Below are 24421 nucleotides of genomic sequence, written 5' to 3'. Positions count from 1 at the left end.
TTTTCATGGAAAATGTTGTTTTGCACCCATTAGATACTTATGATACATTTCAATAAAATAACTGCTTTGTCCAAGAGAACTGAATTATTCACGATCTTCCTAAGTTCTTTCCTGTTGGAACTCCTCATAAAGTCACCCCTGACTGTTTGACTTTCTAAATAGCCTAAGTGACTCCAAACTCTTTTTTGCAAAGAGAAATGAATGTCAGAATTGAAGCTCAATACAGAAATCCTTGTTTTCTCCCACACACTCACACACTTCAACAGACTCATCCAAACCACAGATCAAGAAGTTAAATTGTTTATTTAAATTATAGGTTACATTATTCCTTTTTCTTCATCAGTGGCCATACGTCTGCAATGCCAAGCACATACCCACGTGCACACACACAGACACACACACATAGACACAGATGCACTCTAAGCTACGTATCTGCTTGAGGCTTTGAGCTGTTGCTCGTTAGAAGGATTGGGAGCAGAGAAACCCAAAACTCTTCTCTTCCTCACAGGCTATCTCTCAACATGCAATCCCCAGAATCCAGTTAGGTGCTTCCTCCCAGGGTCAACATGTTCAATTAGCGATGTTCAAGGTAGAAAATCACAAAGTTAATCTCAGGTGGTGGGTTTTGTCAATACTGCTGCTGCATAAAAGGTATTCACTTGAGTACAAGCTTCTTCATGTCTCTGGCTTTGATTTCCTCCTTTATAATATAAAGGGATTTGATTTAAAATATTTCTAATGTCCTAGAAGCTTGGAATTTTTATATTTCTATCACTTTTGCCTGGGTTACCATACTTTAATATTAGCTTTTTCTTCTAAACTTCTATTGTATTTTGGGAACAGAAAACCCTAAAACAGTCTTTCTTTGTAAATAAAACACAATTTTGATAAGGCCTTTTACACTTCCTGACTACTTTCTACCTACACAACATGACAAACCATATCCATAGCCCTGGATGTCTTCACTGAAATTTAATGATAATAATTAGTAATGTGATTGTAAATTAGGCCAATTCATTCTCTTCCTCTGAGCCCACCTGCACTATCACTCACCCCTCACAGCAGTGGCGGGACAGAGGTTGTCCTGTAATTTCTCCAAGCAGTTCTAGGAGTTCAGCCTCACATTGGCTCCATCACACTGGAAAGTCCCTCCTCTCTCCAGTACCCTGCTGACACTCCTGCATCTCCACCTTGCTGTCTTAAAACCAGCAGGACTGGTTCTCTGGCCACTCTTCTCCTCCCCAGCACCCTGGTTCCCTCCTAGCCTTGTCACGAGGTAAATGGCACAATAACACCATGTGTTGCTCAGGCCACAGCCACAGGAATCATTCTTGATCTCTTTACCTCATATCCCTTGTTCAGTGCATCCTTCAATCCTGACCTTCCTACCTTCAGAGCATAACCCATGTTTTCCCATTCCTCATCGCCTGCACCACCATTACCATGAGTGCTAACACCACCTCCCCACTACCATACCAGGAATTTAGCTCTCTGGTTCCAGCTGGGAATACCATAGGGACATCTCCACAGATGCAAATCACCTTCGAAGTGAAAACCAATTCTCTTGCATACTCAAAACCCCCAATCACTTCCAGACAACTCTGAAGGAAATCTAAATTTCTGACCATGGCTGTTCTTTTCATGTTGTCTCTATTACCCTCCCTCTTTCCCATACAACTCTAATCTGAGATCCTGGCCTTCATGTTGTCCCTCAAACATTGAGTATGTTTCCTCAGGCCCCTTGTACACTTCCATCTCCCTTGGACACCACATCAGATCTGTGAACGGCCCTCTCTGGTGTCTCTACCACAGGTACTACCTGGTAGGAGGCTCTCGATTAACGTATCTAAAAGCAGGACACCCACCTGCTCCTCTGTTCCCCAACCCTCATTTATTTTTCATCATATCACCTCAACTATTACCAACCTGTTTATTAATATCTCCCCAACCAGAATATAATGGCTTCAGATGGGGAAATAGCACAGCAAAGCAGAGAGAACTGGAGATATTTTTTTGCAGGCTTAAAGCAGCCTATGTGTGTACTCAAGAGGAGGGCTTGCTGGGGAAGTTGCCCCCCGCCAATTTGTTCTCTCAATAAGCACTTGGCCTTAACCACTGTCTTGACTACATGAAGGTGAGTGAAGCAACCCTTCTCTCTCTCTGTGTGTGTGTGTGTGTGTGTGTGTGTGTGTGTTTTCTCCTATAGCATCCTTTTTCTCACAAAAGTTCTCCTAAAATTGTGCAAACTCACACTGTTCCCCTAGATCTAATAATAAACACCCAATAAGCCATAAATCAGGTATCAGCAGGTATCTGAAGTCAATCCACATGTCCTCAGAGTCTAGTTCCCACCACCGCCCCCCACCGCCACTGAATTGAGTTTGGATCAGAATCCAATTCTCTCTTGTGCTCTTTTCCCACCAACTTCTCTTCAGAACAGGATTCATTTCCCATATTGTTTCTTGTTCTCATCCTAATGCAAATCTGGACCCATCCCTGTGGCAGAGACACACTAAACCAGGCAGTTAGCAGAAGTGCAAACATTGAGAATACATTCTTCACTCACTGTCTATACAGCCTGTCACTCCCATCATTCTCCTATGACCAAGGCATCCTAATTTTAACACAAGTGCTTTCTGCCTCCATTAAAGGAAATCAGCCCCTGAGGTTATGTGTGCTGTGCATCTTAATCCATGATGTACCTTCATCCAACACCAATGAATAATCATACTTACTCAAATAACATTGCCCATTATCTCAAAACAGGGCCATGGATTAGGAGTGCATAACTCATGTTATAGCCAAAATACTTAAAAGGAGTATAGGAGTTTATATCTGCACAAGTTTTTTCTGATCTGAAAACTAGTAAAATATAAGTTTGTTCACACACATACAACTTCACCCATTCAAGAAACAGTGGGAACCTTGTTATGTGGATGGTTTCAACCTAACAGTATCCAACAGTTATCTTTTACTCACCATTTTGTCTCTGAAAAGTAAGAAGATAATTTAAGACTACCAAATTGCAATCACAATTTGAAGGCATAGCTTTTAGATACAAAATACTTAGTCACTCACCGGTGTGCACATAAATTATTAAGATGAAGTCCATATTTTTCTTCAGCAGATAACCCATCCATCAACAAGTAGAAAATGAGAAAATTGCTCTGGCCAAGAGGTTGTGAAACAAGTCTGGATTTCTCTAGCAAATATGTATAAATTCTGGCTGGTTGGGAAAAGAAAAGTGATTCTGTTAAATGGCAGTATTCATTTCATTTCCATAAATTAACACATATTAATTAATTACAAGAGATACAAGGACTGTTGAGTTCTCCCTTTCCCATCTATTTACATTTTATTTTATTGTCTTTTTGCATTAGCTAGGACTTTCAATACGATGCTGAAAAGACATGGTTTAAGGGGACATCCTTCCTTGTCCCATATCCAACAAAGAACTTGGTGCACAAATGTAATTTGAAACAAGATTTGCTCTTGTCTGTAACAAAGGCTTTGAAATAAGCTTTGGAATTTTCCTCATTAATATCCCACTGTTTGAGAGTCCCGGCCATGTTGGTATGATGGATATTAACTTACACTGTTCAAAAAGTGCCCCACTAAAGGCACTGATAAGCATTCCCAGCAACTAGATCAGAATTATATATGGCTGCACTATGAAGGCCCAGGGAGACAGACCATGGTCCCTCACTGCCAGAAACACTGGAGGAAACCCACTGCAGCAAAGGAAAATGCAATTTGAATTCACACAGATATAGTTTAATACACATAATGTATTTGAGGATGAGGTAGATGAGGTGTCTATTAAGTAACACATGTCCAGTGTGAACAGTGTGTAGTCATCTTCTTTTATTCTCACCACACATGTGCGGTAATAGGACTACTAGCTGATGTTTATTTAGTCCTCTGTTTTCAAAACTTTACAAAATAAAATAAAATATAACCCAATGCATAAATACAAGGTGTTGAAATTTATTTGATAGTAGTTGATCAACAACGCCAAAAAGATGCAATATGGTAATCACAGCCTCAATTTTGCTTTACATATGAAGATCAGCAATTCAGAAGCTAGCGTTGGTCAAAATTATGACTGTATGTTTGGCATGCTGAAAATTTCATTGTTTCTGGAGCATTTGAAATATTAATATAGGTTTATTTTTATCATTATGAATAATCAGATTATGTATTTCAATTATATTTTTATTTATTTATTTATTTATTTATTTTATTTTATTTTTTTTGAGACACAGTCTCACTCTATTGCCCAGGCTGGAGTGCAGTGGCACGATCTTGGCTCACTGTAACCTCTGCCTCTCCGGTTCAAGTGATTCTCCTGCCTCAGCCTCCTCAGTAGCTGGGACCACAGGTGTGTGTCACCACACCAGCTAATTTTTGTATTTTTAGTAGAGACAGGCTTTTGCCATATTGGCCAGGCTGGTATTGAACTCCTAACCTCAAGTGATCTGCCCACCTCGGCCTCCCAAAGTGCCAGGATTACAGGGGTGAGCCATCACGCCAGACCTGCATTTCAATTTTAAATGCAAATGTGAATTATTACAGTTTTCCTCTTTGAAGTAAGAATCCATTGTCAATATTATTTGGGTGAGGGGTGTTAAAGAATGGCAGTTCTTAGAAAGGCAAATAAATGGTTATAATTATCTCATACATTTGAACTTTAAAAAAACTCATGTAATGAATTTGCTAAGAATTATTCTAAAGTCCAGCACTAAAAGCAAAAATGTGATGTCTCCCAATTTAATTGTCTACAGCAAATCTGTTCTAACAACTAGAACCACTATTTACAATGCCTTCCAATGCATTTAGTAAGTGGTCAATTTAGCTAATCAGATATCACAGTTTTTAAAAATTTCAAAATTAATATCCCTTAGTAAGAAAAGTTGTATAAAGAGACAACTTTGGGAAAAGTTGCCAGGAGTGCATAAAGAAAAGGTCTTTCAAAATATTCCTTTCATTGGTGACAGTAAAGCCCAAAGGTGATGGTAAAATTAGAATGGGGGTGGTGTGGAGCCCTGAATTAGCAGTAAACCTCAGTGGATGAGCATGTGTGCTTGAATGTGTGTGCACAGGTCTCTATGAGAATCAATTAGGTGGCAATTTCAAGTTAAGTTTTAAATATTTTTTTCTTTTTTCCCCCTTAAATTCTTTGCTGAAAACATTTTCTGTTTAATATTAATAATATTCATCTTGAATTAATTTACTACTTAAGAGGATATTTTTTAAAAACCTAAAGACATTTTAAATGAAATTATCTTCCATTTTTTCTAGCCTTTAGGCATGAAATATCAGATGAGAAGGGAGAATGAATAGTCATCTTGTTCTTGGAGAAATGGTTGGCTAACCCCCATCTATCCCAGCCAATATGCAAGCCCTGATTGAAGCAGTATTCAAAACTAATCAAATTCCACATCATGGAGTCACTTCAATACATTTCATCTAAATTCAAAAACAGTGTAATTATTAATCAACCTGGTTAGCTCATCTCCAGCAGTGAATAAAATTGCTGTGGATTAGTGGAATTCTGATCAGCAGGGTTTCAAAATATGTATACATCTTGAGTGAGCTTTTAGATGGAAGCAAACACAAGACAGCCCAAAATTCAAATTGCCATGAAACTCTAATATTCTTTCAAATGGAGAAATGCAGATCTTTCTGTTGTGTCTGAAGTGAAACGGTAAAAATGGAAGGAGTATGATGGGCTTCTAAGTTAAAAAGGTTTCAGGACGCATTCATGTAAGTGTTCATACATAAAAAGAAACATTCTACTAACTGAGCTCCTGACTTCTCAAGACTTGTATGTTTTAAAAGCTCTTTTATGTCAGAAATACTTTTGACTAGAAACATGCTTATAATTCTCTACAAGTGTCCATATATTCATATATGCGTTCCAAAAAGTTTTGGTGTTGAAAAATATATATGTTTGCAGATTACATGTAACATAAAATGCAATAAAGTATTTCATAGGGCTATACAGCTTTTGTTCATTATATAAAAAAAAAGTGGTGGAAATAAACTTTGCTCTTTCAAGAAAGAAAAATTCCTGCCTTTGTTCTTCCCATTGACTTCCAGAAATTTCCAACACCCACTCTCACCATGTCTCACCCATCTAGTTATGGGTACACGACCACTTAGGGCCTGTTTCCAGAAAGTATTGTCATGCCTTCAATTAGCAAGCACCAAAAACATACTATCAACGAATTCGGATAGCCAAATATTTTCTCTTTCACAACTATGCATTTCTTTCCATCTCATTATTCATGATCAAGGTGGTCATCACTTTGGTGGTATAACCTAAGTGAAAGTGCCTCCCACAGGAGTCAAATGACGGATCCTACTCTGGAGTCTGATGCTGCCAATCCCTGCAGCCCTCTGGGCTTCATTTTTCCTATCAGTAACATGAAGAAGAAAAGACGCAAGTGTCCCAAGGCCCCTCTGGACTCCAAGAGGAAGATGCTACCACTTAAAGCACCTACCGTGTACCATACACTATTCTAGTGTCCTTCTAACATTGCCTCATTTAAATTCTGTTGCAGGCCTTTTCACATTTAAGCCCAACTGTCTTGTCTCCTAAGCCCAGGCTGTTTGCAATAAAGGATGCTGCTCTTCACATAAGATCAACTAAAGCATTTCAAAACTTTTAAAAGAATGTCCTGCTAAGTATATAATTCTAAGACTAATTGATGATGGTAACAAAGATGATTATTCATCTGTTATTACACCTCTAGTTTATTTAACATCAGGATTTGGGGAAAAAAACACAAAGCAAAGGCCTTAATATATTTTCCATTTCATTTGCAGTAATTTTAAGGTTTAAATTTCCTAAATAGAACACATAGCCTGGCTATATTTACTGGAAGATATTTTTTATTGTTAGTAAATTTCAATTTCAACTTAAATACCCTTGGATACCTTCAGGGCACAAACATCAAAAGGCAAGTATTCTCGACATTCCTCAGGGGGACTCTGGACATCCCTCCCTTTTGAGTTCCTCCCACTTATTTCTGGGAATGGGAGAACCTAAGACTTGAAATAAAAGTGAAAGAAAAAGAAAACAGTGAGTGATTTAAAGAGCAATGTTAACATACTGAATATTCATGGGAACGCTAAGAGTTTGGGGTGATGGTTATCCCCCTTGGACAGAAGAAGAAAATGAGGCATGGAAGATCCAGTGAGCTGCCCAAGGCCAGCGGGCACAAAGTAAATGAGCCAGGACTCAACCCCAGGCCTTGTGGCTCGTAAGGACTACAGAGGGAAATCAGAGCTTCGAGTCAAGCAAATATCTGCCTTTTGAGCTTGCCGAATGCTTGCTGATGGTGATGAATTTGGCCCTCTGCACATTCTGGGTGCAGTTAAAAGCATGGCCTTATGGACTCTCTATGTCTTCCAGTCCTTTACAAGTAAGCTCTTGAGGAAAGTTTAAGAAAAGTAAGCTCCTGAGGAAAGTGTAAGAAAAGGAAACAATATCATCAAAAGAAACCATCCCCTAACCCACAGTAGCCATATGAGACCATAAAATACTGTATTTCCTGGTGACCTTCTAAAAGTCCTTCAACCTGTTTTTGGTGAACAGAATTCTCTTCAATAATCAATATTCCAGAAGAGGAGATCATTTTCTTGTCTGAGAACTTATCTGGTCAATAGCTAAGATTTACCTTGGATAAACAGAATGACTCCATTTTGAATATCTAGCTGCTAAGTGAGATTTGGGACATGGCTGGTCCTATGCTCTTTTCACAATCCCCCTCAGCCAAATAAGATTCATGAAGATGCACCGAGGCCAGTGTTCTTGGCAACCCTTTATTAGCACTGGCTCCTTTGCAGAGGCAGCCCGATTAAACCATTAATAGCTCCATCATGATACTAGAAATAGTCAACTTCAAAAGTGGTTTATTTCCAATTACCTGAAAAGCAGCTGAAAGGAACACAGGAGACCATGGAGTCTGGTCCCCTAGTTTTATAACAGGGTAAAGAGAATCAGTGACATTCACCTATTCACCTGAGTTTACAAACCGATGGCCAACCTGCAGTTCGATCTAGAAGGCCCTTTTCCATGTGCCCAGCTACCCTGTATGAAGATGGTTTTACAACTTGATTTGTTGCTCCCAGAAAACAGGTGACTTGCGAGTAAATTAGAAAAAGAAAGAGCTAATTAAAAATCTTGCTATCACATATTTTTGAAGATCGAAAAAAATAAAGTGATTATTTGATAAGAATGAAGACAGTATATTATTTTACTTTATCTGCGTATGTTTGGTGAGACAGTTTTGTGTACTATATAAAAAACTGCGTACACTCTAAAGTGAATGAAAACTTTATAGTACCCTTAAAAGACAAGGAACGATCTTGTGTAGAAGAGAAAGAATTGTCATTCCCTTTCCAGGAACAGGCCCTAAGTGGTCATGTATCCATAAGGGGATGGATGCAACAGGATGAGAGTGGGTGTTGGAAGTTTCTGGAAGTCAATGGGAAAGACAAGGGCAGGAACTTTTTTTTTCTTGAAGGAGAAGAAAGTTTATTTCCCCACTTTTTTTCATAATGAACAAAAACCGTATAGCCCTACAAAATACTTTATTGCATGTTATGTTACATATAATCTGTAAACACATATTTTCAGGACCAAAACTTTTTGGAAAACATACATGAATATGCCATTAATATCATAAACTGACTTGTATGTCACACAATGTAAACCTCTTTGCATGCTCAGATGAAAAATACAAATTTGTAGGGATTCAGGCAATGTATTAGCAAATTACCTCGAGTCTCAAATAAAAGGTACTGTATGGCTAAAACTAAGTCATTGTTGGCAAAGTTTTCCTTTTACTTATACAGTAACTTTTTATAAACTTGTCTGTGTGATGATAGTACGATGTTTTATAAGTCACTCAATCCTGAGGGAGAGTGGCACTTGCACCAGTGAACCTAAATAATTATATTCTAAAATAAATAATCAGATCAGGGAAAATACTGGACTAGAAGCCAGACTAGAATGCTATTTATAAATTACATTTTCCCCCAAACAAGAAAGTCCTTACTTATATACAGCTCATGTTTCATAAAGCTGAGCCTGGTATTTTTTATACTATGATCTGTGGTTACATTGCTGATGAAAGATTGACATTAAATTATAAAAGTGTAACTAATAGTAACAATGAAAGTAACAGCACCTATCAACCTTCAAATTAGTATGATGATACTCCCTGTCCAATAAAATGGTAACAACTATTTCCTAAATGCTGATAATTTAAAGAAAAACAATCCACCATAAAGTATAAACTCAATCTGTAATCAACACTTATTTGACCTGGTTTGAGATAGAGCAGCCTCACTCCAATTTGATTAACTATTTTAGTGAACATTTACAATTCAGAATGCTTTTACAGGGGACTGACTTAAATGACTCAGCTCTCTTTAAAATGTATGTTAAGTAGTTAAAGTTAATGTGTTTTTTCATTTTTCTTTCATAAGAGTCTTGGCAGCAGATGGAATTATTTAAAAGTATCACTAACGTATAACAAAAGTATTTACTGATAGCTTCTTAAAGTGTTCAGTGCCTATTTTTTTGAGCAGTGATGATTTCATTCTTAAACTGAAAATCATTTTAAAGTAAAAATTCATACAATAGATCTCTGTTACTCTTTGTTGCAGGATGGATTTTGCCCTACAAAAAATACATATACATATTGAAGTCTTCATCCTCAATACCTTGGAATGTAACCTTCTTTGGGAATAGCATCAATACAGAGATACAGTAGTCACCCTTTACCTTCAGTGGATACATTCTAAGATCCCCAGTGGACCCCTGAAAACTGAGGATAGTACCAAACCCTGTATACATGATGTTTTTCCTATACATACACATCTATGATAAAATTTAATTTATAAATTAGGCACAGCAAGAAATTAACACAGCAACTAATAATGCAACAGAATAATTATAACAATATGCTGTTCGCAATTCCAGGGGTAGGAGATTGTTTCCTACCATGGATCTTAGCAACCTCAGCATACAATTTGTTTTCTTTCCTTATTAAGTTGAGAACTTTCACCTTTTCATTAAAAGGAAGCTGAGGCCATTATTAAGTAAAATAAGAGTTACTTGAACACAAGCCAGGAAACTGGCACCATCTGATAACTGAGAGAGCTTCTAAGTGATTAACAGGTGGGTAGCGGAGACATCGTGGATACACTGAACAAAGGGGTGATTCACTTTCCAGGCTGGATGGAGCCAGAGGGCAGGAGATTTCATCACGTTACTCAGAATAACATGCAATTGAAAACTTATGAACTGTTTGTTTTGAGAATTTTCTATTTAAAATTTTTGGACCACAGTTGAACTCCGGTAACTGAAACCATAGAAAGCAAAACCTTAGTTTAGGGTGAAACTACTGTACTCAAGTTACAATAAGGTCATACTGGAGTAGGGTGTGTCCTAATCCAATGTGACCAGTGTCCTTTGGAGAAGAGAAGAGGCACAGGGAGAAGGTCATGAGTCAATAGAGGCAGAGACTGGAGCAATGCATCTCCAAGCCAAGGAACACTAAAGATCAGCAGCAACCATCAGAGCTAGGAATGGGCAGGGGAGGTCCCCCCAGAGAGGTCAAGAGCTCGTGCGTCTACAGACACCTGAATTCCAGACTTCTAACCTCCAGAACTGTGAGACAATTAATTTATGTTGTTTCCAGCCACCACACTGGTGTTCATTTGCTACTGCAGCTTTTGAACACTGACATAATCTAACACATTCTAATATCAACCCCGTTCAGTCTATGCTAACAGGCACAGGAGACAAGTACATGCTATTAAGCTACTCTGGGAGACATGGGAACATCAGATCCACAGCTAAAAGAGTGCTTTCATTTTTGGACTTAAACAATGTTGAGCACTAGGCAGCATCTGTAAAATTATCTGGTCCAGCTGGTGTCTGCCCCTTCCTCTTGCTTAGACACAGCCAGCGTTGGCATGAGAGAGTGCGTGGCAGACGTGAGGATGTTCCATGGCAGCTTCTGATGACTGAGTGAAGATGTTCCTTCTCGGAAACATCGACCTGCTCTTTATAGTACGCATAATATACCTTTGTACTCAACACCCTTTCCACGTGGTAAGGGATACTTGAACAAATTTGTCCTATTTCTCTTGAGTTATTTCTTTTTCAGTGTAAATATTTTTAGTTTTGTCAACACTTTACTCCAAAAACATGACATTGGAACTTTCACTCTCCTGATAAACATTTTCTGAACATATTCCTTTTATTTCTCTTCTTAAAACCAGGAAACAACTGATTCCCAGTCTCACCCCTTCAGGGCACTGTGGGTCCTACCACGTTTATGATCTAGGTGGTAGACTTCTACGAATGCAATCTCAGCACTAGCTTTGTTACTTTGTTTTATAGCAGTTTATTACTCTTAAATAAAAAACATAAAAAACGATCACCAAATCATTTGGCCAGAGTTTTAAAAGAACACAGCAGGAAGCTATGAAACAAACAAATACAAGTGATAAGAACTAAATTAAGGATGTTAATTAGGGGAACAAAATGAGTAGAAAGGCCATACGGAAAGTGGAGAAAGGTGGAGCATGCCTGTCATAGATGCCCTGATTGCCATTTCCATAAGAGAAAAATAAACCCTACGCAAGTCTGAAATTATATTGAATTTACGGTCACAGTTCCTTAATGATTCAGAGAACTTTTCTGGGCCTTGAACTATCAGGTGAAATTCACCCCCGATATTTCACGTAGGTTCTTTTCTAATTTCCCTAAGAGTCGGCCGGTCTGAGAAATAAAGGGACAGAGTACAAAAGAGAGAAAATTTAAAGCTGGGTGTCTGGGGGAGACATCACATGTCAGCAGGTTCTGTGATGCCCCCTGAGCCGTAAAACCAGCAAGTTTTTATTAGTGATTTTCAAAAGGGGAGGGAGTGTACAAATAGGGTGTGGGTCACAGAAATCACATGTTTCACAAGGTAATAAAATATCACAAGGTAAATGGAGGCAGGGCGAGATCACAGGACCACAGGACTGGGGCGAAATTAAAATTGCTAATGAAGTTTTGGGCACCCATTGTCATTGATAACATCTTATCAGGAAACAGGGTTTGAGAGCAGACAACCGGTCTGACCAAAATTTATTAGGCGGGAATTTCCTCGTCCTAATAAGCCTGGGAGTGCTGTGGGAGACCGGGGCTTATTTCATCCCTCTGCTACAACCGTAAAAGACAGCCATCCCCAAAGCGGCCATTTCAGAGGCCTCCCCTCAGGGACACATTCTCTTTCTCAGGGATGTTCCTTGCTGAGAAAAAGAATTCAGCGATATTTCTCCCATTTGCTTTTGAAAGAAGAGAAATATGGCTCCACCTGGCTCACTGGCAGTCAGAGTTTAAGGTTATCTCTCTTGTTCCCTGAACATTGCTGTTATCCTGTTCTTTTTTCAAGGTGCCCAGATTTCATATTGTTCAAACACACATGCTCTACAAACAATTCGTACAGTTAACGCAACCATCACAGGGTCCTGAGGCAACCTACATCCTCCTCGAAGATGTAGGGATTAAGAGGTTAAAGTAAAGACAGGCATAGGAAATCACAAGGGTATTGATTGGGGAAGTGATAAGTGTCCATGAAATCTTCACAATTTATGTTCAGAGACTGCAGTAAAGACAGGCGTAAGAAATTATAAAAGTATTAATTTGGGGAACTAATAAATGTCCATGAAATCTTCACAATTTATGTTCTTCCACCATGGCTTCAGCTGGTCCCTCCGTTCGGGGTCCCTGACTTCCTGCAACATTGAACTGCTCCAGGCCCATCATTATGAATATGTATCACCTCTGGGTCTCAATGCTGCCTGGACAAGCTGCCTGAGAGGTATATGTGGGGCTAATTATGCTAAAGATGTGAGGGACCAAGTGTTCATAGAGATTGTTGATTAACAGAAGGCTCAGTTAATCAGTGTTTACAACAAAGTTTTCTAGTTCTTTTTAATATGTGTACATAATTATTTTCTAAATCAACATTCCTAAAGAAAAGGACCCTCTAAACTCTATCCAGAAAAATAAAAAAGAGGAAAAAAAATGTTAGTAATGGATGACACCTTCAGAAGCCAGTTATTTTCTCTCCCTCTTGCTAAAGGAAACATGAAATTGAGAAGAAAAAGTCATGCTGGTGACACCCCAGATGAGCTTCTCCTCCTTGCACTAGTTGTGCATAAACACGAATGGCCTGCTTTCAGCTCTCAGAGCTCTCAGACACTCACGTCCCATGAATCACCTGGAATCTTGTTAAACTGCAGTCTCCATCAGCCAGTCTGGAGTATGGCCTCAGATTCTGCATCTATAACAAACTCCCAAGTGATGACGCAGTGCTCATCCTTGGGCCACACATTTGAGTGGCAAGGGGCTGGAACACGGAGCTTTCAATGTTTCAGCTTCCTACTTTTGGAGAACTTCTATCCACTTAGAGAACATCGCCACAGCCCACCAGTCACTGAGAGCTCAGGGGGAAAACTGTGCTCAGTATTACAGAAGTAAATCCGGCCCCTTCCCTTGGAGGAGCACACCCAGCCAGGTGTTAGGAAACTGAGACTTGAAAACCAGAGCTTGAGGCTCACGACAGTTCTCCGATGAGGTCTTCATAAAATGGCAGACCTTCAGAACTCTAAGCCATGGGTTTAAAAAACCAATAAATGATTGAATAGCTTTCCTTTTGTATAAGTTAACCTTCTAACTTCAACATCTAAACATCTAAAAGCATCTTTTCTTTCTTTCTTTTTTTTTTTTTGAGATGGAGTTTGGCTCTCGTTGCCCAGGCTGGAGTGCAATGGTGTGATATCTGCTTACTGCAACCTCCGCCTCCTGGGTTCAAGTGATTCTCCTGTCTCAGCCTCCCAAGTAGCTGGGATTACAGGCATGCGCCACCACACCTGGATAATTTTGTATTTTTAGTAGAGACGGGGTTTCTCCATGTTAGTCAGGCTGGTCTCAAACTCCTGACCTCAGGAAATCCACCCGCCTCGGCCTCCCAAAGTGCTGGGATTTCAGGCGTGAGCCACTGCACCAGGCTCATACTGTTTTTATGCATGTTATTTATCACATTTTATTAGTAGAAAACTGATTCTGACATAGACTTGCTGCAAAATACAATGTTTTTGTTTCTAGATTATGGTCAAAACTAACTTTTTTTTTCCTGAAGGGAAAATAGGGTAACTTTAAAAAGCCAAGTAAAATTAAACTCTTTCAGAAATCATTTATAATAATTGGCAAATGTTTATGTGCTGACAGCTGTTGTAAAAGTTTTTTAAAAATATCTGATTACTTCAAGTATATCAAAATTCTACCTACAATTGTATTTATATTATTAATTTGCATTAATAATCTGTTTTAATTGGAAAGATGTAAAATTCTAGGTGAATTCTAAATTAGTTGAATTTTAAATAAGGAGTTTTTATAAAATATACTTTAAGTATTTAAATCAAATACGAAACAGTGTCTGCTTGGGTTTAGTTTGGCAATTATTTTGATGTTTAGATTTAATTCAGTCATTTAACTATATGGATTCAGTTTTATTTCAAATAGATTTCAATGTGTATTATGTGAAGAAATTATATATAATACTAAGGTATTATTTATTTAATTAAAGTATTTGAGTTTGTTTCTATGTTCAGCAAGGATAATTCAGCTACGTTTGGTCTGGGTTTGGTTTCTCATTATATAGCCCATACAATAATCATTTTGAAAAGGTTCAGCTTGCATTTGAGAATATTTTTTAATTCACAATAACTTCAGCACTTATCACCTGACATCCTAGGTATGTATACACACACACACACACACACACACACACACACACACACTCACACACCCTCAACTGAGTGCCTGAGTATTGATCCTTGTTCTAATGTAATACAAACTTTCCAGAAGTATCTTAAGCTGTTTCCAGACACGGTCATGAAGAATAGGTTTTCTCTCCCAGCATTGATTCATACACAGTGTGTCCATAGCGTGCCTGTGTGTGACGTGGTCGCATGCTGGCTCGGCACAGGAAATCCACGTTGTCAAATACTGCACTTACCTCCGGTTAGCTGTTGTTTCCTCTCACAGAACTGCAGTTCAAAATACTTGATGAAGCAACTGGACAAATCATTAAGTGTGGTCTTGGCATGTCCAAAGGCTTCTAAGATGCACACGACCTGTGGGAGAGGAGAACATTTTACTGAACTGCTCATATTTTAAGAAATAAAATTGATGAGTAATAGCGACGATGCAGTGAATAATACTTCTTGGTCTGAAAGTTTCTATCCTGCTCATAGAATGCTATATTGAATTTTTAAGACCCCTTTTTCCTCAAAGGCAAGCCACTAGCATCCTATGTCTCAAATTGTGGCTACTGTTCATGAAGCAATAATAGACAGATTGCTTGACGACACTGCACTCTCCTGCACATAAAAGAAGGAAAGCCATTCTCTACACACACAGCCCCAAGCTTAACAAATGTTATCAAGATTTCAAACCTGAATAGAACAGTAAAATAGCGTTTGCATTTTGGAAGGGAAGGAGTCATCTGAATTAATATAGGCAAAAGTCAGAATTCATTTTACAATAATACATTTATTTAAACATTGGCATAGAACATTCCTTTGAATCCTTATTTACTTTCCACTCATACTCTTTTTCAACCCTGACCCCCATTTATCCTCCCTGTACCGTGCTTTTGCCTCACACCAACTATTCTCTTCCACAGGGCAGCGGTGAAACTCCCAGCTGAGCTGCCATGCCGCCTTCTCTCGCTGCCCTGTGCTTTGTTGCAGACTGGCAAGTTTGTGGCTTTGCAACGCTATGATAAAGCTCCTCAGGCCAACCCTGGGGGCTGAAATTCTTCCTTGACATGTTTCCTTAAGCATTCACAGTAGAATAAAAGCCACTGCTTCTTCATCAATTGACTCTGCCTGTGAAGGTGATGGGGACCAAGCAATTCTCCAAAATGTATGAAAATCTGGAGGGTTCAAGGGTATCTCTTGCATGATAGTTATGTTCCATGCGGTTTCTGCATCAGCCACAGGAGGGAGTACAATAACACCTTATTGATACACGGACTAGTTTTCCTGTTCCCTAGTGTTTCTAATAGTGTTTTTTTGAGAACACTATCCTACTTTTTTTTAAGTGCTTTGATCCCACTTTTTTTAAAAAATTTACTTTTTATTTTATTTTTTGAGACAGAGTCTCACTCTGTCATCCAGGCTGGAGTGCAGTGATGTGATCTCGGCTCACTGCAGTGGTGTGATCTCGGCTTACTGCAACCTCTGCCTCCTGGATTCAAGCAATTCTCCTGCCTCAGCCTCTGGAGTAGCTGGGATTACAAGGGCATGCCGTTACACCAGGCCAATTTTTGTAGTTTTAGTAGTAGAGACAGGGTTTCGCCATGTTGGCCAGGCTGGTCTCAAACTCCTGACCTCAGGTGATCCGCCCACCTCGGCCTCCCAAAAAGTGCTGGCATTACAGGCATGAGCCACCACGCGCGGCTGCTTTGATCCCACTTTTAAATTTCCTGGCATCTGCTACATTAAGGTGTTGAATTAACCTGGAAGTATTTTATACTGTGAAAGATTATAAAATAGTTTGACGCTAACCACAAATTAAAAAATGCTACAAGTTGTGATAATAGTGAAGTATGTTAAAACTTCTGTGTTTGAAGTTTGAATTTTGGAGACAAACATATATTAATTCCTTACAAAAACTTTATGGTTTAGGTCTGTATATAATAATCTAATTTTAAAGATGATAAAAGTAAATTGATAGCAGTGATGATAGCAATGTTTTCTGGGAAAAAAATGAAATAGTACTTAGTAACTCTTCGTTTTTGTATCTTTTCCTATAATCTAATATGAAATATGTAGTTATATACATACGGTGAAAATAAGAGGGTAATGATAGCACATTTTAAATATTAATAATATTACATTAAACAATTATTTTTAAAGTCATAAAAATAGGATAATCTTTAAAAATATTTTGCTTCTAGTTATTCTGGTGTTGTGTCTGATAAGTAATGTTTTGATTATTCTTGGAAAAAGGACATTACAGGTAATTAATAACTTGTTCCCCTAACAGTCAATATAGGGAAATGGTTAAATGCATGTGCCTGGGAGTGAGAAGGAGCTACCCCCACACCCCAACACTGCTAATGAGAAATTATGTAACGCTGAGGAGGTCCTCTGAATTCCTCAAACCTCATTTTCCTTAATTCTCACGCTGGAATAACTCCTTCAGTGTTTGTCAGTGTCCGCTGTGTAAAGCACTCAGCTTTACGTCTGGCACAGAGAAAACATTCAGCAAATAACAACAGTGAATTTTACTTTTGTGAATAGCAATAGACAATGTTCCCGTCCTGCTCACTATGTACCAGGCAGTGTTCTAACGGGTGATGTGTCTGTGCATGTGTGTTCTCTGTTAACTCTCGGAACCAGTGTATATTTTACACTGCTTTACAGAAAAAAGGACATAGACCAATTAGTTTTCCCAAGGCTCAAAGGTTGTCAACAATGAAGCTGGGAGTTGAACCCAGGTGAGTTGGCTTTCAGAATCACACACTTAACCACTGCACTATGCAGTAATTACTGCTGAAATACCAATAAAGACATAGAAGGCATGAAACGAATATAAAACTACAACTACTTAACAAAATGTAAATACCCCATGGCATTCTTTCACTGTACGTTGTCATCCATGAGTCAAGATTAAAATGCTAAATAAACTATGCAATAACCAGTTTTTTATCTTTAATTAGCCACTTGGCCGATAGGTGGCACTAAATAAATGTATTAAGAGAAATACTGAGCTAAACAAAACTGGCATTATTCCGCTGCTCACCTTGATTTCAAAAACAACAATGACAACGTTGCACAGTAACAAAATTTAAATAAAAATATAAATGAAGAAAATTAAATATATATATTTTCCTCAATATTTACTTATTCAAATTTTATTGACTTTTTTTTTGTATTTATAATGTATGGTATTTTTTCTATAAATTTATGTCCCTATATAAGTCATGGACTATTATGGTAGGAGTTAATCTACTGTATTTTCTGAAAGTAAAGACTTGTGGCATCCTCTATAAAAAATATTAACTCAATCGATATCAACCCATCAGTCTGCTCTCTGAAAGCTATTGCATAGTGAATGCTTATTTAAGTGATTTCAATGGAATTGAATATTCTTAAAGTTGAAATTCATTTGGACCAGAGTTGGTGAAGGTTCCAGGTAGTTTCTTCCTGAAACATGACTTTTCTGTTCCAATAAATTTAATGTCATGGAAAATGCCCTGCTTCCAATGTTTGAAATTCAAATGCAGGGGTTAGAAACAAAACAGCCCTTCCTAACTGCTCTTAGCTGCTCTGAAACTTTGTGGGGGAACAAAGCCATGTCTGTGGTGATCGGGTTCCATCCGTCCATCTACCCAGTGGGTAAAGTGCACTTGAAGCCCAGGACAAAGGCAGGTGAGCTCATGCAGGCTTTTAAGATGGGCCAAATGAGGTGTAAGACTGACAGAAAGATTTCAGTCACTTCTCGTAAGAATAAGTGTTTGACCTGCATATAATCACCAAAAGTCATTTCTGGACCTCAATGCTGCACTCTCTCACTTACTAGATGTTACCAACTGAATCTTCCTCCTTCTCTCTCTTCTCCCAAAACCTCCTTCAGGGAGAGTACTGTGTGTTGTGACAGTGTGAACTTCTAGTTTCCACCCAAACCCTTTCATTTTGGGTTCTCTGGCTTCCCATACTCCACTGAGATGGCAATCTTTAATTTTAACAATGATGCCATTATTATCAACCACAGGAAGAGTTTCTCTACTCCTCAGTGTCTGCACAATACTACAATGAAGACCACCCCAATACATCCTCACTGATATGGTTTGGCTCTGTTTCCCCACCCAAATCTCGAGTCGAATTGTAATCCCCACATGTCAAAGGAGAGACCCGGTGGGGGGTGATTGAGTCATGGGGGCAGTTTTCCCCATGCTGCTCTCATGATCGTGAAGGCATTCGCATGAGATCTATGGTTTAAAACTGGCAGTTTCCCCTGCGCATGCTCTCTCTCCTGCCATCATGTAAGATGTGCCTTGCTTCTTTCTTCTTCACCTCCTGCCATGACTGTAAATTTCCTGAGGCTTCCCCAGCCATGCAGAACTGTGAGTCAATTAAACCTCCTTTTTTTAAAAAATAAATTTCCTAGTCTCAGGTGGTATCTTTATGGCAGTATGAGAACAGACTAGTACACTGACTTTTCTTTCTCTATCATTCTTTTACTACACATTATTTGGCAACTGCTGATCCAAATGACCCCCAATGAGTATTTTCCTAGGATTTGAGGCAAAATTGTCTCCTTTAGAATGAACCAGGCTCTCTCAGTGGAATGTACAGTTTGTGTGCTTGCTACACACCTGATCCCGCCTGCCAGCACTCCCCATGATGGCCTGTGTGATATTCCAGAATGCAGTCTCACAACCAAATATGGCTAAACCGTGTCTCTAATCAGCACATTGTCCTCTCCTCTTAGGGCCACCTAGTGAACTTTCCTTTCATCTTATCCTGACCCTCAAACTTTCTACTAGATAGCTCCATAAATCAAGGCTGTTCAAGGATGTTCTTTTCTACTCATTTCCTTAATCAGATTTTCCTTTCAGGAAGTATAGGAAGTGCTCACTTAGTATCATCAATAGGTTCTTGGAAATTTCTACTTTAAGCAAAACAACGTACCTTCTAATGCAACCAATTTTATCACAGACTAATTAATATAAACAAGAGTTAAATTCTTACAGCAGACAGGAAATAGTTTTGCTTAAAGTCACAGTTTCCAAGAACCCATCAATGACATTGTGAAGATTTATTGTACTGGTTCATCTCTTAAATATACTTAATTTCACTAAACCCTCTAATTTTATAAAGATTTATGGTAAATTAAAAAATGTATTCAATGCTTGTATTTAATTCCTGTACATATACTCGGATGATTTACAGATATAATGACTGATGATTTTCATGAACATCTTGGACACTGAATGATATTCATGTGGATAATGATCTAAAGGGAAACAATAAAACCACAGCTGACATGGAATTTAAGCCATGCTCAAACCTGGGCAATATTTTTTCATGAGACTAGAAGTCATTTATTTATGAATCTTTTATGTGTCATGAGGAGTGAATAAAACACACAAGTTAACTAGAATTAGTTTTACTTGAAATATGCACTGATATTATAATCTGGACTCCCAGATGCTAACTGATTTGGGAGGGTTATATCTACCTGATCCAAAGGAATGCACTTTAGAATGTATTTGTTTGAACTAAAATTTAAAGCCAATTTACATAAGGTAATAGAGAATGCATTACAGAAATTATACAGCCTGCTGTCTCCCAGATGATCATTTTAATAGATGATTGTATATAATTTAGAGGGGAAACTATTGTTCCTTTTCATTATGAGTAAGTCATCAGTTTCTGTTATTTCCGTTAGTTAACTTGAGGCTATTTTATAACCATGTTGTTTTACACGTACTCTAACTCTTAAGTGTCAGTTGTCAGGATATTAACATATTTGAACAAAGAAGATAGGTTATGCTATTCTCCCAAATTGACTCTCAATATTAAATTATTTTGACCGGCCAGGTGCAGTGGCTCATGTCCGTAATCCCAGCACTTTGGGAGGCTGAGGTGGGTAGATCACTTGAGGTCAGGAGTTCAAGACCAGCCTGGCCAACATGGTGCAACCCCATCTCTACTAAAAACTACAAAAATTAGGCAGGTGTGGTGGCACACGCCTGTAATCCCAGCTGCTTGGGAGGCTGAGGCAGGAGAATTGCTTGAACCTGGGAAATGGAGTGAGCAAAGATTGTGCCACTATACTCCAGCCTGGGTGACAGAGCAAGACTCCATTTCAAAAAAAAAATTATTTTGAGCTTGTTGTAGAATTATGCAGGTGCTCAATATGGTATGAGCTTAATAAATGGTTATAAATTAAAGTCATTAATGAACACACATGATACCACAGATATTCAAAAAACTAATTATGCATTCTTTTTAAAGAGAAAAGTCTACAGAATCAGACATAAGCTTGGGGATCTATTAGAGAAGAATAAATTTTAAAATTACTTATAATTCACAAGTATAAAATATGCAAAATAATACTAATTTATTAATTAAAAATCAGTTATTCTCATTTCTAAATAAGGAATCAGATACTATAAATTTAAAGAACATGCCAACTAACCGCCACCATGGTAGAAATCACTCTAAACTGTAGCAGCCAGATAAAAAAGCAGGTGCCACAGAAACAAACACAAATAGCACAATATTCATTGTGCAGTATATTTCCGTATTTTTAACTTTTGAACCTTTAGATGGCATTGATTTAGGAAACGATATAAGTGCAGCTGTCTTGCATGAATATAATCAGACACTTTTAAATATAAAATTATGACTGAAATGCAGGCATCTTTCTGTAAATGTGTGTACGGCCAGACACATGTCAGCATCAGAGGCACCTCCGTGGAAATTTCACACTGCAGCAATATCGCACTTTGAAATCAGTGCCAATAGAAAGTTTTATACTATTGTAACATGGCCTATGATGTGTACATGCATTATTTTTTGTCAAGGCAATGATATAGCACATATGTACATTATTTCTTGAATGTTACACATAGAATATTGATTTATCTATAGAAAATCTTATGTTCTGTTAGTGTATATGTGGAATTGAACACGATTTTCCATATATGCATTTAGTGGTCTCTTGACCTGCGAGATAAGACATTTTTTAACAAATGTGTCTTCCCTACACTGGAATGAAAAACAAAAGGTTGTATAAAAAGGAAGAGAGGTAGAAAAATCCCACTATCTAACAAAAGCAGGGCAGGTAAGACAAATTGAAGAAAATGTCAATGTTAGTTCTATAAATCACATATAAGGAAACACACACAGGCCAAATGTACAGCCTCCTGATGACATACAAATGGGTTGTCCACATTAAATGTATTTGATAATGTAAAGTTAACTAAGGAACTTAACTTAGGAAACTGGGGGTAATGAAATGTTTCTCCTATACGGTCACGATACTTATTTTAGTATATTCATTTATTCCCCACATAGAAACTGAGCTCCTACCATGCTGTTGGGACAGCAGCTCTGAATTCCAGGGACAGGCACTGGGTAGCCCTTTGTTAATAGATGCTTGTGGAGTGAGAAAGCAAATGAATGAGACTGCACGGGCCAGGCTGAGAGAGATACATGCTCAAAGGTGGCTTCAGCAGAGAGTAAGAGGAAGGGGATATAGTGTTCTAAGATCAGAGAAGAAAATAAAAACCACAACAAATGTAACATTGCCAGAAAGAATGCCAGGCCATGCTGATTTATTGGACTTGATGTAAAGGGAACAGAGACTCACTCAAGGGCTTTGAGCAAAGGAGTCTCTGGTGATACAGGCTGATGGCAGTTCACCAGCATCAACTCTCCTCTTCTTCCATTTACTAGTTGAAGTTGAATACATGGCTGCCTAGTTATCAATGAGTCCGAACTAGATAGCAGCATGACTAAGTTCAAGCCCATAACTGTGATGAGAAGACAGGTAGCCCCTCTGCATATGATGAGCCTTCTGCCTGGACTGGGGTTTGCTGCTCCCTTCCTCTGAGCAGGTGAGAAAGTGTCTGGGGAGCGACAGGGCCTGGGCCCTACCTGACCCTGGGGAGCAGAGCTATCAACCACGGCCTGCCACAGGGACATGCACTGGAGGATGGCCAAGGATGGAAAAAGAAAGAGAGCAACTTAGAACAGTCTCAAAGATAATGCCATGTGAGAAGATGACTCCACAGCAGCAATGACTGTGGACCTGAAGGAAACTGGACAGACTAAAGAGCTAGGAGTAATAGGATATTCAGAATGTGTTGGAAATAGAGAAACTTAGTACGATGCAGTGGTTCACGCCTGTAATCCTAGCACTTTGGGAGGCTGAGGCAGGTGGATCACTTGAGCCCAGGAGTTCGAGACCAGCTTGGGAAACACAGGAGACCCAGTCTCCACAAAAAAAAAAAAAAAAAAAAATACAAAAATTAGCTAGGCAGAGACACATGCCTGTGGTCCCAGCTACTTGGAAGGATGAGGTGGGAGGATCACTTGAGCCCAGGAAGTTGAGGCTGCGGTGAATGGTGATCGTATCACTGTACTCCAGCCTGTGTGACAGAGCAAGACCCTGTCTCAAAAATAAATAACAATAATAGTAAATAAATAAGTGAAAATAAAAAAGAAAGACTTCAATTTTGGCCACGTGTTTGCAGTACACTGTGGCATGTCCAGGAAATTCGTTGGACAGGCAGGTCTGCATCTTAAGAATGAGAGGCAGTATGGAGATTAGGATCCAGAGCTGCTGGTGTACCCATGGCACTGAGTCATGATCATCAGCATAAGCAAGGGTGGAGTATCCTCTAAAATAATATTTTATTTCAACCTTAGGAAAATCATCATGAACTTCCAGGCATCTGGAGTGATTTCCAAAAGAAATATAGAAATGGAGAGGGTTCCATCTCTAGGTAGAGGCCCCTAGAGAGCAGACTGTTGATTTCCATTCTTTTGGATTGGTTATTGGTTCCTGTCCTGTCTGTTCCCCCCACTGTTAGCCATTCCTTCCAGTGGCCTTTCAATGTCTTCTTCTGATCTGCTATGGTCTGAACAAACCTTTTAACAAAACTTGCTAGAACTATGTATAAACAACAGAATCAGTCTATGGATAAGCACCTGTGGTGGCCTCCTTGAGTAAAATTTCTGAGTTTGATTATGTGGGATGTTTTTAGCTTTATCTTAGCTGCTAACAGGTCTTTTTGCTTCCTCCTTGAATCACGGTCATATTTTAGAATGATGAATTAGCGGGACAGTTAACACTGCAAATGTTTCCAAATAGTTTAAAATCTGTTTTGGCCCCAAAGGTGCATGGCCTGCCCATCGAAGTCTTTAAGGATAACTATTGCCAATTCTTTCAGATACACCAAAGATTTATTATCAGGCCCCAGTGATCCCTCACAATAATTTCTTTTCTGGCCAGCTCCCCAAAATGTCCTAACACACCAAAGTGCACTTTCTTTTTCTTTTCTTTTTTTTTTTGAGACAGAGTTTTGCTCTTGTCCAGCTGGAATGCAACAGCATGATCTCAGCTCACCGCAACCTCTGCCTCCCGGCTTCAAGCAATTCTCCTGCCTCAGCCTCCTGAGTAGCTGGGATTACAGGCACCAGCCACCACTCCTGGCTAATTTTTGTATTTTTAGTAGAGACGAGGTTTCACAATGTTGGCCAGGCCGATCTCGAACTCCTGACCTCAGGTGATTCACATGCCTCGGCCTCCCAGAGT

General features: G+C 38.8%; 1 protein-coding gene across 6 annotated transcripts in view; it reads right to left on the bottom strand.

The window, feature by feature from the left end:
- The window catches only part of MYO16 (myosin XVI), a 712290-nt gene that overhangs the window by 294777 nt on the left and 393092 nt on the right, over nt 1-24421 (bottom strand). For all 6 annotated transcript variants that reach the window (XM_011521062.2, XM_047430183.1, NM_015011.3 and 3 more), the window contains 2 exons: nt 15096-15213; nt 3079-3226 (listed from right to left, as the gene is read on the bottom strand). In XM_011521062.2, coding sequence (XP_011519364.1) covers nt 3079-3226; nt 15096-15213 — 266 coding nt within the window. The remainder of the gene's footprint in view (nt 1-3078; nt 3227-15095; nt 15214-24421) is intronic.

Source organism: Homo sapiens, chromosome 13 (genome assembly GCF_000001405.40).
Source record: "Homo sapiens chromosome 13, GRCh38.p14 Primary Assembly".
NCBI classification, from domain to species: Eukaryota; Metazoa; Chordata; class Mammalia; order Primates; family Hominidae; genus Homo; species Homo sapiens.
Note: the sequence above shows the minus strand (reverse complement) of the source record. Positions and strands in the feature narration are given on the sequence as shown.